General features: G+C 36.0%; 1 protein-coding gene across 3 annotated transcripts in view; it reads left to right on the top strand.

The window, feature by feature from the left end:
- The window catches only part of CAAP1 (caspase activity and apoptosis inhibitor 1), a 52118-nt gene that overhangs the window by 16638 nt on the left and 19311 nt on the right, over window positions 1-16169 (top strand). For 2 of the 3 annotated variants that reach the window (NM_024828.4, NM_001167575.2), the window contains exon 5: window positions 15026-15099. In NM_024828.4, coding sequence (NP_079104.3) covers window positions 15026-15099 — 74 coding nt within the window. Of the gene's footprint in view, window positions 1-6187; window positions 6240-15025; window positions 15101-16169 lie in introns of those variants that run through there. The other variant, XM_047423896.1, reaches the window with a different exon arrangement.

Below are 16169 nucleotides of genomic sequence, written 5' to 3'. Positions count from 1 at the left end.
CTTTTAGAAGCTGGAAAAGACAGGATGGAAGTAGATTTTTCCCTGGATCCTCTGCAAGAAATGCAGTATTACCTACAACTTCATTCTAGTTCTTAAGACTTATTTTGGACTTAACAACCTTCAGAACTGTATGAGGATAAATATATGTTCTTTTAAGCCACTAAACTTGTGATAATATATTAGAGTGGCAATAGAAAACTAATAAAATGTGCTTGATTAAAACCTGGACAATAAGCCAAAGTTATAGATTGGTTGCCTAGAGCAATAGGGTTATTTTCTATGACCTAAGCGATGTTTTAAAATTTTTGAAATTGTTTCCAACATTCCAAAGGAGATCACACCACAATCTGGATTTCTTAGTTGCTTGAAAAAAAATCAGATCAAGCAACTTTCCTGGGCATGCAAAAAATTAGAGCTGACTGCTGCCGTTCTTTATATGACATTGTATTTCAGTGCACTACCTAGTACTTCATTTGCCTGAATGTTTAATATACAAAATGTTTATAAAATGAGACTCTGATTGAAGGGGAAAATACATAAAGGACAAAGGCTGGCTTTAGAAACAATTATATCAGTTTGTCAGCTTCTTATCAACTGAGACATACAGCTTTTTTAAAGAAGAAAAATAATTTCAAATATGTCTAGATTAAAGCAATCTGTGTTATTAAAATACATGAAAAAATTTGATGTTTTCTTTTAGTAGGCGACCTATGCTCTTTTATTATAGTGCTTTTTGTTTTTGTTTTTTGAGACAGGGTCTCACTCTGTTGCCCAATTTTGAGACAGGGTCTCACTCTGTTGCCCAGTCTGGAGTGCAGTGGTGTGATCTCAGCTCATTGCAGCCTCCACCTCCCAGATTCAAGCAATTCTCCCACCTTAGCCTTCCAAGTATCTGGGATTACAGGTGCATGCCACCACGCCTGGCTAATTTTTGTATTTTTTAGTAGAGTTGGGGTTTCACCATGTTGCCTAGGCTGGTCTTGAACCCCTGACCTCGAGTGATCCACCTGCCTTGGCCTCCCAAAATGTCTTTTATTATAGTTTTAATTAGAAAGAGACATAACATCAGTAAAATTGTCTAAGAAGCTGTAAAGTGACATCTTTCAGTATGAGGTGTACATATACGTGTGTGTGTATGGTATTTAACATACCCTGTGTATGTTAGTTTTCTTACATTAAATATTTTAAGATACAGAATTATGCACAAGTGTTTATGAACAAGCTTTAAAGATTATAAATTTATCTTTGCAGTTTATCTTCTTATATTGCCAGCTTTATATATTCAAATTCTATTTCTCCTCTAAGCTCAGCTTACAAATGTATTGTTTTTTTCCAGATTTCTCTTTCTGTTGCTGTTTTAAAGATTATTTCCCTACTCTTACCATACCTTAAGATAGCTCCTTTTTACTACCAATAGTAACAAGAAAGCAGTAGTCATAAGAAATTTTTGTTAGTGTGCCAGTTTGAAACTTGAAATTAATGAGAGTGACAAAAATTTTAATGGGGATGAAGATTAGGAACTGTGAAGATACAACATCCATCATTTCTAAATACCTTCATTTTTTAAGTGAGAAAATTGATTTCATGGAGGTAATTAATAGAAAGGTGGTTACCAGAGGTTGGGGTGGGTACAGGGAGCGTTTGGGTAAAGAAAGTTAGTTCAGTAGATACAAAAGTATAGTTAGATAAGAAGGAATAAGTTCTAGTGTTCAGTAGCACAATAGGGGTACTGTAGTTAACAATAATTTATTGTTTATTTCAAAATAGGTAGAAGAGAAGATTTAGAATGTTCCTAGCACAAAGAAATGTTGAGTTTGAGATGATGGATATTCCAGTTATGCAGATTTCATCATTATTCATTGTATGCTTGTATTTGAAATATCACATATACTCCATAAATAAGTACAACCAGTAGGTATCTGTAAAAAAAATTTTTTTTTTTTTTTTTTTTTTTTTTTGAGACAGAGTCTCACTTTGTTGCCCAGGCTTGAGTGCAGTGGTGTGATCTAGGCTCACTGCAAGTTCCACCTCCCGGGTTCACGCCATTCTCCTGCCTCAGCCTCCCGAGCAGCTGGGACCACAGGTGCCTGCCACCACATCCGGCTAATTTTTTGTATTTTTAGTAGAGATGGGGTTTCACCATGTTAGCCAGGATGGTCTCAGTCTCCTGACCTCGTGATCTGCCCGCCTCGGCCTCCCAAAGTTCTGGGATTACAGGCGTGAGCCACCGTACCCGGTGCAGGTATCTGTAAAATTTTTTAAAGAGTGAAAAAAGGCGAGGAATGGTATTGTCACCTTAGGGAAAAGAAAATGAGCAAATTTATATTTTATTTCGGGTTGTCTAAAAACTTTAGCATGTATAGTTTTATAGTGTTTTAAAACTATTAGGAATTGTGACAACATTTGTAAAAGTTACAGATTAAGATAAAACCGCTTAACAACGCAACAATTTTAAGTAAGTAGGTAATATGAAGTCTTGGAATTAGAGTGTTGTCTTTGATCGGAGATGGGCTGGGAAAAAAGCTTTATTCCAGTTAAAATAGCACTGAAAATGAGAACAGGTATTAGTTTGGCCTGTAATGTTAGATGATTATGTTCCAAAGAATGTGCTTATAATGAAATTTAAGTCTTGAATAGCACAATAAAATAATCAGGATTGAGATTTCATATATAAGGAATAAAAGTATACTGTAGGGAAATCTTAGCAGTTTTAAAATTGCTTTCTCTAAATATCTTTATGAATTTTAAATGAATGTGCTTTTATTGAGTGATTTTGAGGGAGATACCAGTGAAAATGGTGCTGCATTTTCCTACAGATAATAAACAGTGTTGAGATAGTATCATGGTTGTAGAAGATAAAGAAATTTTAAAAATCTCAAGTTCTCAAAATAAGTTAAAACACAAAGTAGGTACTTTTTCTTTTTGAGGCAGCTGCTCACTTGTCACCCTGGCTGGAGTGCATTGGCTCAATCACGGGTCACTGCTGAAGTGATAAGTGATCCTCCCACCTCAGCCTCCTGAGGAGTTGGGACCACAGGCATGAGCCATGACAACCAGCTAATTTTTAAATTTTTTGTAGAGACCATGTGTTGCCCAGGCTTGTCTCAAACTCCTTGGCTCAAGAGATCCTTCTGCCTCAGCCACCCAAAGTGCTAGGATTATAGGCATGAGCCACTGCACCCAATCAAAGTAGCTTCTATATGAGTGTTTTGGAGCTGTTGTTTCTAGCCACTACTGCTTCTTAGTAGAGGATGGGTGTGTTCTAAATTAGTTACCAAATTTTAATTTCAAATTATTAACTTAAAAAAGATATTCCTAAATAGGCCTTACATTTAGGCAATATGTATAAATGGAACCATTTTATTTCCATGAGAATATTTAAATATCTAGTATATTCTTTAGGGAATTGTTTGTAATATGAGTAAATCTTTGATAAGAATTATTTTAGGGGATGGTGGCTTATGCCTGTAATCTGAGCACTTTGGGAGGCTGAGAGGGGAGGATTGCCTGAGCCCAGGACATTGAGGCTACAGTGAGCTTTGATTGTGCCACTGCACTCCAGCCTGGGCAACAGATTGACACTCTGTCTAAATATATATATATATATATATTATATGTATATCTATCTGTCTATTTAAAATCTCCATTTAAGTTGCCTGTTTTATAAATCTGAAATATGAGTGCTTTTGTTTGCAATAGAATACATATGTATTCTTAAAATATAAATTGGTTAAAAAGCAAGTTGGTGTCATGTAGTTATTAGTTACTACTGAAAGTGTACTGGTTACTAGTTATACTAGATTTTAGTACATTGTTTAACAGTTAGGTTTCTTATGTAGTCTGCAACTTATTCCACCCTTCAAAACAGGAGTTTCCTGCAGACTGCTATTTATGCTCAGGGTAGGCATTTAGAGAAGATAGAATGAAAGAACACAGTGCATAAATGTAGGAGGTTTAATGACTGCTTTTGCAGTAAGATATTTATTCTTGAAAAATACTGGCTATTCCTTTGGCTCAATCAGTTGTCTTATTGAGAGCAGTAACTAGAGTTACCTGTATAACCACTCTTTATATTGCTGAACCCTAGCAGTGATATGTGGTAGAACTCTTGCTGTTTGTTAGTTTAATAAATTTTCATGAGTGTATAGAGTTACATAGCCCATCCACTTACAAAGCCCAATTGAAAGCCAGAGATTAGCAGCTGCATTAGATTTTTTATTTTATTTATTTATTTATTTATTTATTTATTTTGAGATGAAGTCTGGCTCTGTCGCCCAGGCTGGAGTGCAGTGGCATGATCTTGGCTCACTGCAACCTCCGCCTCCCAAGTTCAAGTGATTCTTCTGCCTCAGCCTCCTAAGTAGTTGGCACCCGCCGCCCTGCCCAGCTAGTTTTTGTCTTGTAGTAGAGATGGGGTTTCACCATGTTGGCCAGGCTGGTCTCGAACTCCTGACCTCAGGTGACCCACCCACCTCGGCTTCCCAAAGTGCTGGGATTATAGGCGTGAGCAACCATGCCTGGACTGCATTACTTTTTCTGCTGAGCTATTATAACACAGCTACTCACCATCTTTTTTTTTTTTTTTTTAAAGACAGAGTTTTGCCGTGTCACCAAGGCTGGAGTGCAGTGGCACGATCTTGGCTCACTGCAGCCTCTGCCTAGCACGTTCAAGTGATTATCCTGCCTCAGCCTCCTGAGTAGCTGGGATTACAGGCGAGTACCACTGTGCCTGGCTAATCTTTGTATTTTAGTAGAGACAGGGTTTCACCATGCTGGCCAGGCTCGTCTCTAACTCCTGAACTCAGGTGGTCTGCCCTCCTCTGCCTCCCAAAGTGTTAGGATTACAGGCATGAGCCACTGCGCCTGGTCTCTTTTATTTTTAATAAGGGAAAAACATCCATGTCCTTTTTGATGAGTTGGAGCCATCCAGTAGGTTTAGCTCATGTCATTAGAATACTAAGAATTTGAATTGTTTCAATTTAGGTGACATATATTCCCTGAATATGTATGTATAAATAACTTTCAGAGGGTCAATGGTGTTCAGCCAAATGATAACCTCTCTCAGTAAGTGTCAGCAAAACTGAACTTGTTGGGAATAAAAGAGTCCTCCTTAAACCACTATTAATAAACTTGAATGCAATAAAGTATTTGAGTAAAATTTACTGTGCTCTATAGAACTGCATTGATGGGCAGCATAAATCTGCAGTACATACCTAAGGAAATATTTTTATCAAAAATATAGACCTGCGGCTGGGCGCGGTGGCTCACGCCTGTAATCCCAGCTCTTTAGGGGGCCGAAGCGGGTGGATCGCTTGAGGTCAGGAGTTTGAGACCACCCCAGCTAACATGGTGAAACCCCATCTCTTCTAAAAATAGAAAAATTAGCTGGGTGTGATGGCGCATGCCTATATTCCCGTCTACTTGGGAGACTGAGGCAGGGGGATCACCTGAACCGGGGAGGCAGAGGTTGCAGTGAGCCGAGATCGCGCCATTGCATTACTCCAGCCTGGGCAACAGAGCAAGACTCCTTCTCAGAAAAAAAAATATATGTATACACACACACACACACACACACACGTATATATGTGTGTATTTATACGTGTGTGTGTGTGTGTGTATGTGTCTATATACACACCCCTGAGATCTAGGCGTCTTGGGAATTACCCACTTAGGAAATTGACCTGTGATTCAGACAACTTAGATAACCACTCTGGAATGCATCGATTGTTATGTACCAGTTACTTATTTGCTTAACTCTACGTAGAGAAATTTTAACCTACAAAAAAGACAGCAGTAGGATGAACCCTTGCATATTTATCACTCACTGTGTCCCTTCCATATTATTTTAAACAACCTCCTCCCAGTTTTTCTAATCTGATTACTTTGAAGCAAATCTTGGTATAGTTACTTTTAAATAGGAAGCAGATAGGCACCTTTCCAGAATCTATAGAACTTTTCCTTAGAATGGCAGGGCATGAGTTTGTCAGAAGCCCCAGATGGGGTCTTCATTTCAATCAGGTGTTATGCTTGGCAACGGTTTCCCTGTGGGGAACTTTGAGGGACTTGGGAAGCATTGTTATCTGTTTTTGTAGCTGCATCTGCGTTAAAAAAAAAAAAAAAAAAAAGTTATTCTTTCTATTACAGAAACCTAACTTTTAAACTGTATCTATTGTCATTTTTCCATCAGTCAATTTACTGCCTCATCCTGCTGCTCAAGCACTGGGTTAGATGATTAGCAGGTATTTTTCCTTTTTTCTACTCTTTCTCTATCACCTTTTTAAAAAATTGAAGTTTCTCTTAATCACTTAACTGATTTGTTTTATTAATTGTTCATTTCATTTGAAAAATAAATTCACTAATGTTCACAGTGTCCTAAATTGGTTGTTAATAACTTCTCTCTAATAATGCCCATGTACCTCTCCCACCATTTAAACTGTTGGCTTACCAAGAGTTACTCATCTGTGTTTCCAAGGCAATTTATAATTGTGTAATTTAAATATGTAAACACGTTAACTATTAATAAGAAAAGATTAATTGATTAGATTGTTTTGAGTTTGGGAAAGCTCGGGTTGCTGAAAAGTTGTACTCAATTAGCTGTAGGGAAACAGAATATCTGGAGGGGCATTGTATAAATATAAATGGTTTTTTTTTCCACATTCAGATTTTTTCATTTTAACTAAGCCAAAACTAGAAATGTCAACAATGGTTTATGTGAGTAGAATGATATGGAACTCTATTCCATGAATTTGTATTAAAGGTAAGGCCATGGCCCCATATCCAAAGATTGGTGAATTAAAGATGTGTTTTTAATTTTAAGTTAATAAAAAATGCTCAGATTTACATATTTTACTTTAAAAAAGTGTTTCCTGTGGTAATAAGTTTCTTTTTTACGGAAGTGACATTTTCTATCTGAGTTAAATAAAAGGAATTTCACCGTATTAGGTTTTATTTTGGTTTATTTATTTTTTTTTACTTTTTATTATGAAAATTATCAAGCATATAGAAAAGTAGAAACAATAGTGTATCAACTCCCATATACCTGTCATCTAGATCTAACAATTATTATAGTTTTCCACATTTGCTTCATCTATTTTCTTATAGTATTTTCAGTATATTAGACATTTTAAATCTAATTTTTTAATTTTAATATTTGTCTCTGCAGTCATATCTTTATAACACTTAACGTAATTAGCAATAATTCTCTAATATGTGATATTCATTTCATATTCAGATTTTCCCGGATGTTCCGTAAAGGTCTTTTACATGTGGTTTCTCTGAAGCAGAGTACAAGCAAGAGTACACATTGCATTTAGTTGTTCTCTCTCTTAAGTCTTTTTTAATGTAAAACTGCGTCCACCTTCCTATTGTCTCTTGTTTGCTTTTTTATTAATAAATGAACGTGTTGAAGAAAGTAGGTAAGTTGTCCTGTACACCTGTTGGCTTTATCTGATTGTATCTTCATGGTGTTATTTGACTTGTTCCTATATCCTCTGAGTTTTCTTGTAAGCTGGGATTTATTAACTTTTTAAAATTATAAGTGTGTTAGTTTCCTATTGCTGCTATAACAAATTACCACAAACTTAGTGGTTTAAAGCAACACATATTTATTTTCTTATAGTTCTGGAGGTCAGAAGTGAAAATCAGTTTTTCTGGGCTGAGGTCAAGGTGTCAGCAGGGCTGGTTATTTCTGGAAGCTCTGAGGGGAGAATTCATTTTCTTGCCCTTTTCAGCTTCCAGTTACTGCTTATATTCTCTGTCTTGTGGCCCTTTCCTTCATCTTCAGAGCATATCACATCATTCTCTGCTTCCAGGGTGATATTGCCATTTCTTCTAACTCTGACTTCTCTTACATCCTTATAAAATGATTACTGTGACCACATTGGGCTCATCAGAATAATGCAAGATAATCTCCCCATTTCAAGATCCTTAATCACAATCACAAAGTTTTTTGCCGTATGAGGTAACATTCACTAGTTCTGGGGAATTAGAATGTGGGCATATTTGGGGGGCTGTTATTCAGCCTAGCATAATAAGGAAGGAATAGTACGAAACTGAAGATAACTCTTATTGACTTTCAAATAAAAGCAGAGTTGTATGTACATAAATAGTAGATAGATAAATTCAAATAGTACACAAGTTTAAAATAAAGATAAAAACCTTTCTGTTTCACCTTCTGATCTCACCCCATCCTCCTCCCATACTTGTTCTTTCTCCAAAGCAGTACCATACTTCTAAAACTTTTTTGTGTCAAGGACCCTTGGAAGTCTAGTGAAGCCTATGGATTCTTTCTCAAAATGATGTTTGCTCTTTTTTTATTTTAAATTCATGGATTAAAACAGAATTAGAAAGGAAATTAATAATAAAATAGTTAATATTAAAATATTTTGCAATATGGTAATATACTTATGGACATATTAATAAGATCTAGCAGCAGTTCTAATAACTTTAATAATTTTAAAGTATAGGTTAAGTATAAACAGTATTTTGGATGTGTGCAACAACTATATTATGTGAAAATATGTTGATTTCTAATGATGACAGAATCACAGATAATGCTAATACCTAAAAAAAATGGATTCTAGTGAAAATACAGATGTAATTTTTCCCCATCTGTGGTAGGCTAAAGAAAATCCCCCCACATAGCCACATCTTAATCCCTAGAATCTGTGAATGTTAGTTTTTATAGCAAAAGGGACTACAGATATGAATAGGTGGGATGGTGAGTTGGGAAGATTTTCCTGTATTGTTTTTGTGGGCTCTAAATGCAATCACTTGCATGTATCTTTATATCCAGTGTCCTTATATGAGGGAAACAGGAGGAGATTTGACGGTCTTTGAGAAGACTATATGATAGAAGCATAAGGAAGCAGAGTCAGAGATGTTGGCTTTGGAGATAGAAGAAAGGGCCTTAAGGCTTGTGAAACAGTGTCTTCTATAGAGCAGCGATCCCCAAGCTTTTTGGCACCAGGAACTGGTTTCATGGAAGAAGATTTTTCCATCAGGGAATATGTGGGGAGGATGATACCAGGCTGAAACTGTTCCACCTCAGATTATCAGGCATTAGATTCTCATAAGGAGCATGCAACCGAGATCCCTTGCATGTGCAGTTCACAATAGGGTTCACATTCCTATGAGAATCTAATGTGGGGTGGAGCTCAGGCCGTAATGCTTGCTTGCCCACCACCGCTCACCTCCTACTGTGCGGCTCAGTTCCTAACAGGCCACAGATTGGTACCGATCTGTGGCCCAGGCGTTGGGGACCCCTGCTGTAGAGCATCTGGAGGGATTGTGGCCCTGCCAGTATATTGATTTTGGGTAATTTGTAGTGATTTTGGGCTTCTGGCCTCCAGAATTGAGAGATAATAGATTTTTATTGTTTTTCAGTCACCAAGCTGTGGTAGTTTATTACAAAATTCATAGGAAACAAATACACTAGGCAAATTCACAAATCTCCTGAATTCAATCCGTATACCTGGCAGTAAAGAGGTGGAGATGGTCCAAGAATCCATGTTAAGGTCCCAAGCTTCAAAGGTAACCACTGTTAACCTTTTCTTGTGTATGCTCTTATTCAGAAATGTTATACCAGAGTGTTTGTCTTCATGTATTGTCTGTTTTTTAACAACTTACTTATTTGAATTATAAACACATACACATAATACAAAGATTTTAAAAGGATATAGTGAGAGTAAGTCTGTCCTTTTGCCATTCCTTATTCTTTCTTCCTATAGGCAACCACAGTAAACCAGTTCTTGTGTCTCCTCCCACAGATATTCTATACATTTACATATATATGTACATATTTTCTTCTCACACAAATGGTAGCATATTGTGCAAACTATTCTGTACCTTTTCCCATTTATTTCTTCCATATAATAATGTCTTTTTCTTTGACTTTGTCCTACCCAGTACATATACTTATGCCTATTTACTATACCATTTTTTGGTATACCAGAACATAAACAGTCTCTTATTAGACATTTAAACATTTTATTAGTGTCCATTTAAAGTTATTTACTGGCCATGTGTGTGGTGGCTCACGCTTGTAATCCCAGCACTTTGGGAGGCCAAGGTGGGCAGATCACTTGAGGTCAGGAGTTTGAGACTAGCCTGGCCAACATGGTGAAACCCCGTCTCTACTGAAAATACAAAAATTAACCGGGTATAGTGGTATGTGTCTGTAATCCCAGCTACTCGGGTGGCTGAGGCAGGAGAATCCCTGGAACCTGGGAGGTGGAGGTTGCAATGAGCTGAGATCGTGCCACTACACTCCAGCTTGGGCAACAGAGCAAGCCTCCATCTCAAAATAAATAATAAATAAATAAAGTTATTTACTGTCTTTAGTTACTACTACGAAACCTTCCTAGGCCTCAGTTTTTCTCATCTGGAAAATAGAATCCTACCTCATAGGATTGTTATGATGATTAAATGAGAAAATGATTTAAAGTCTTTAGAATTAGTACTTGCCATATGGTAAGCATTGGAAAAAAATGTTACAAAATTTGTTTTGGAATTTTTACTTGGAATCTGTAACAGTGACTGTTCCTAAAATTCTACTTTATACTGATGAGTATTGGGGATTTCCCCCTCCATTCCTTTTATGCTACACAAACCTAAAGAAACCAATAATTTTTTTTTTTTTTGAGACATAGTTTCTCTCTTGTTGCCCAGGCTGGAGTGCAATGGCATGATCTTGGCTCACCACAACCTCCACCTCCCGGGTTCCAGTGATTCTACTGCCTCAATTCTCCCGAGTAGCTGGGATTACAGGCGTGTGCCACCACACCTGGCTAATTTTGTATTTTTAGTAGAGATGGGGTTTCTCCATGTTGGTCAGGCTGGTCTCAAACTCTGACCTCAGGTGATCTGCCTACCTTGGCCTCCCAAAGTGCTGGGATTACAGGCATGAGCCACTGCCCCTCGCCAAATTTCTTGTGATTTTTAATCTTTACTTTTGCTTAAAAAATTCATTGGTATGTGTCTATTTTTTTCATTTATTACAAAAATCATTTAGGAGAAAACATATATATTTGAATGTATAAAAGGATTTTTCTCACAGTTGAGATCAATCTGTTATATTGACATTATTTTCTATAAATTCAATTCTCTTAGACACATATAAAGAGCAGACTGTGCTTTTGGGTTGGTAAAGGATCATAAATTGGTTATCTGGACACCACTTAATGTTCTCATATCCTTTGTAAATTGCTATTAGGTTATATAATATGTAGAATGTTCTGCATAACATAATAAGTTTATTCAAAATAACAGTTTTTCAGAAAATCTTTACAGAAAGTATTACTAATCACTGGCAATATTGTGACCTAAAATGGTAGATAGCATTCCACATTTTGAAACCTGCATGTTTGCACCTTTAAATGTCCATACAAAGTGATCTAACGCTGATTTTTGAAGTTGGAAAGGACATTAAAACAGTAATATGGGGATAGAGCAAAGAAGAGATACTATACTCACCTCTGTGATTCCCTTTAGTCACTTTAAAATAAAACAGAGCCCCCTATTTAGGAAAATGCCTATTCACAAAATCTTGGAGTCGCAGGGTGGGGGACAGTTTATATACAATGAAGCCTTAGAGAATCACAGGTCAGAAAAAGCACCGGGGTGTGGTAACTGATCGTTTGATTTATATTATTTGAGCAGAGGAAACAGAGATAAGTTTCCTTCAGCAGGTGTAGGATTAAATTTTGCTGTCTGAGGAAGGGGCTTGATGAGGGACACAATAGAGATGTGAGTTGATTTATTTGCCATTATTTTACATTTGGACAAGAAATTTACCCCCACCCCCCATATTTAGAAATATATTTTTAACTTTTAGGGGTTCATATATGTGGTTCTTTATTAAGTTCCACAGATCTCCCCAGTGTATTACTCTGATTTTAAAAAAATCATTGAACTATAAGAAAGGATGGACAGTGGATAGCTTGTGGAGGTAAAATAAAGTAAGTTGGACTGATGTTGGTTTCAGAACTTAAATCTCAGTCATAAGTATAGGGCTCTCTTGTGATTCAATGCCAAGCTTGTAAATTAAGCTGCTTTAAAGGAGTGTTGGAGATAGGAGAAGTGAGTTAGAAATATAAAAACAGAGCTGGGTGAGGTGGCTCATACCTGTAATCTCAGCACTTTGGGAGGCCAAGGAGTTCAAGAACAACTTGGGCAACAGGGCAAAATACCACCTTTACTTAAAAAAATTAGCCGGGCATGATGGTGTACATCTGTAGCCCTAGCTACTTGGGAGGCTGAGGTAGGAAGATTACTTGAGCACAGGAAGTCGAGGCTACAATGAGCTGTGATCACTGCACTCCAGCCTCCTGGAAGACGGGACAACAACCTGTCTCAAAAAAGAAAAACAGGCTTTTTTTTTTTTTTTTTTTTTTAATTTAAACGGAAGGGAGCACAAAGATAATTGCAAAATTCTTAACCCAAACTGGCTTTGGCAGTGTGTTCCCACCCTCTCCCCATTCCTCTCTTTACAGTTGTTTATAAAATTCTTCCTTAAAGTGTTTGATAGAAATATTTGAATGTCATTTAAATATATATCCTGATTCTGGCACTTAGTATGTCTTACCACCTGAGAGTGGACAAAATTTTTATTTTCATAAAACTAGAAATAAAAAGACCTGTACACATAATTTTCTTACAATTTAAGATATTTCCTTTTTGTAAATATCTTGCCTTTTATGCCATTTATTGGAGATCTTTAAATTGTATTAGAGAACTTTATATTTTAGTCATAAAGTACATCTTGTAAAAATTAGCTAGTATAGATTTTAAATTTTCAAACTATTGAAGACTTTCTGGGATTTTTTTTCCCCATTTACTTCAGGTAATACTGACAGCATCTAACTTCACTTTTCTGCCACAGGGTGGTGTAAAATACTTACTGTCTGAAATTCTGTTTGGCGACTTCAACAGCCTAATAGAACCCAACTTAAAATAGAATGTTGTAGAAGTTCACTTTGGGCACTAAACTAAATTGTTTATGAGAGAAGATAGTCCTTATAGAGGGGTCCAATTTTTATTTAAAGGGGCTCTAAGAGGCTTTCATAGGGAAGGCAGTTACATTGCATTATTATTAAAACATTTGGAAATACTTTCAGACTTATTACAATGTTGCAAGAATAAGAATAGTACAAGAAACATCCATATACCCTTTATCAAGATTTACTTATTATTGACCTTCTATCCCATTTGCATACTTCCTTCTTACATACATGTTTTTTTTAATGAAACATTTGAGGCTAAGTTATATACACCATGACACTTTTCACTATATGTTACATTGTGTTTTTCCAAGAGATAGAGATACTCTATTATGTAACCATAACAGAGTATCAACTTGAGTAAATTTAACATTGATAAAATACTTTTATCCAGTTCCCCATCAGTATTTCAGTTTGTCTTTTGACTCAGTAATGTCCTTCATAACGTTTTCCCTACCAGTTCAGCAGTCTCAGGTCAGTTATAACATTTAATTGTCTTGGCTCTTTAGCAACCCTTTAACCTGGAGTAGATCCACAGCCTTTGTATTTTATAACAATGACATTCAACTTTCCTTAACAGAACATTACTCATTTCCATTTTGAGTTTGTCTGGTGATTCTTCATAATACAGGTTATATATTCTCAGCTAGAATATTATATAAATGATGTTGTGTCTTCCTTAGAGTATTACATATATCCATCCTCCTCTTATTGGTGATGTTACATTATATTTTGAAGTCTTTTTTTTTTTGTAAATTTAGATGTGTATGTTTAGAAGAATAATTAAATGCAATTCTAGGATGTGTGAAAGCAAACGTTTTCTCTAAAGGAAGATACTTAAGACTAATGCTCCCAGTAGGTAAAATCTAATTTGACTGGAAGGTTTGAGGTAGCACATTTTAACTTTAAACCTTGCAAAGCTCTTAATGTAGTATACTGGCATTTAATCTTTCCCTGGATTGCCAAGGAGAATTGTTGATATCCTCCTTGGGACCTGCCAGTCATTCTGGTGAACGAATAAAATCTGAGTAGGTGACTTTGGACAGAAGTATAAAACACTGAGATCTCAATTATAAATTTCTGATGTCATAATTAACAGCAAAGCCAAATAATTTTGTATTCTCTGAGTTTGGGCTTGTATTAGTGCAGTTTTAATACAAAACACATTTAAGTGCCAGAGGTGCTGACTGGAAAGAATATTGTAAACTTCTCAAAGAAATGATCACAAGTCTTTTTTAATCCTTCGGTTATTTGACAGATTTGTTACTGTTAATGAACAGACACAACTTTCTGAGTAGGAAGATTTCCTAAATATTTCTAGTATGTTAGCTTTAGGATATGTATAAGAATTCTCAGAAGGCAACAGAGATACCTATTTTGAAGAAAATTGTCACATAGCTCATTTGAACATTTATAATTTCTTGACCTTTTTGCTGAAAAGTATATTAATATTAAGATGGTATAATGCTAAGAAAGCACATTATTTTGCAGCTGTATTCCAGAACATAGTGAATTGAAAGTTTTTTGCATGATCTTACATTTAATCCTTTTACTTTGATTACATATGTATATTACATATAAAATATGTATTTTCCACATACTGTAGACATTAAAGCATTTGAGGTATGAAATTAAATGAATATAAAGTAATTTGAGTGCCAAAATGCTCATTAAATTTAACAGTTGAACTTGAAAAATTATTGGATACTGCTGTGAGTTGTGATTTCTCCTATCAGCTACCCTGCAGAGTATTGTAAGGGAGAAAAAATTACTTCCATGTTCCTTTCAGGTTTGCCCCTTGATTTTACAAAGAAGTATACTGCTTAAATTGCTAGTAGTTTGTAGCTGCTGCTTCTGACACTTGAATACTTGTTTCTGAGCTTCCAGAGTACACTGAATGATACCCTGGGAGCTTAGAAGAATGTAGCCTGTCTTCCCTAGTGCCTAACTTAATTCTGGGAACCTGGGTAGTAAATATTATGTGATTAAATATAGTTTTAAAGGTTGATCTTATTTTCATTTCCCAGGCAAGACATCTGTATAGATTCTGCTTCATCCGTGAGAGAGAATAAGCAACCTGAAGGTTTGGAATTAAAACAAGGTATGAACCAAGTACTTGATTATTGTATAAAATTTACCTGAAGAATAGAAGCATTTTACCAAAAATAAATTTTCAGTGTCTAACTCACCCCATTTTACAGATAGAGGAAGAGAGCAATTTATTTGGTCAAAAATCAGTCACTTCATGATTCTTTTAGCTACTGAAATGATTATATTTTATGATGTTTAGTTAGTTACAGAAGCCACCAGAATTATCATCTTGAATAGTTTTATTTCAGTAATTTATTAAATTAAATTTATTTATTTATTTATTTTGAGACAGAGTCTTGCCCTGTCGCCCAGGCTGGAGTGCAGTGGCGCGATCTTGGCTCACTGCAAGCTCAGCCTCCCGGTTCACGCCATTCTCCTGCCTCAGCCTCCCAAGTAGCTGAGACTATAGGTGCCAACCTCCACGCCCAGCTAATGTTTTGTATTTTTAGTAGAGACAGGGTTTCACCGTGTTAGCCAGGATGGTCTAGATCTCCTGACCTTGTGATCCACCCGCCTCGGCCACCCAAAGTGCTGGGATTACAGGGGTGAGCCACCACGCCCGGCCTATTTTAGTAATTTATATATCATCAGCTGCAAGACATTGGAGATATGTTAACTGGGTAGCTTTGGGTTGTATGTGGGAAAAAACCAGTAAGTTTTATAGCATAACTTTTTTCCCCCTGAGGTATTTTGTCCTTGTTTACTTACTTTCTTCATCATTTATTGCTTTCTTTAAATCAGTAGTTTTTGACATTACCAGCTAGCAGAAATAAAGTGGTAATTTTAATTTATTCAAGCCAAGTACATTTGTAGGGCTAATCTTTTAAATGCCTTTTTTACTTCTTTTTATCTTTAGTAGGAAGAATTGAAAGTAAAATAAGTTTTTATTAGTTACTCAAATGCCAGCTCACATTTGTTTCTGATAAAATTAATTCAGAACAGTAAAAATTTGTTGCATCCAAGAAGATTAAGTTATCTATCATGTAATCACCTAATCTTTGATGGCTTAGAATAGTTTCTCTTAAATATGAGTCATATGAACTTATTTGGTAGAGAGAAACAAGTCATTATTTAGGCAGA

The sequence above is a fragment of the Homo sapiens genome, chromosome 9, assembly GCF_000001405.40.
Source record: "Homo sapiens chromosome 9, GRCh38.p14 Primary Assembly".
NCBI lineage: Eukaryota > Metazoa > Chordata > Mammalia > Primates > Hominidae > Homo > Homo sapiens.
This window is presented reverse-complemented; position numbering and strand designations above follow the sequence as displayed.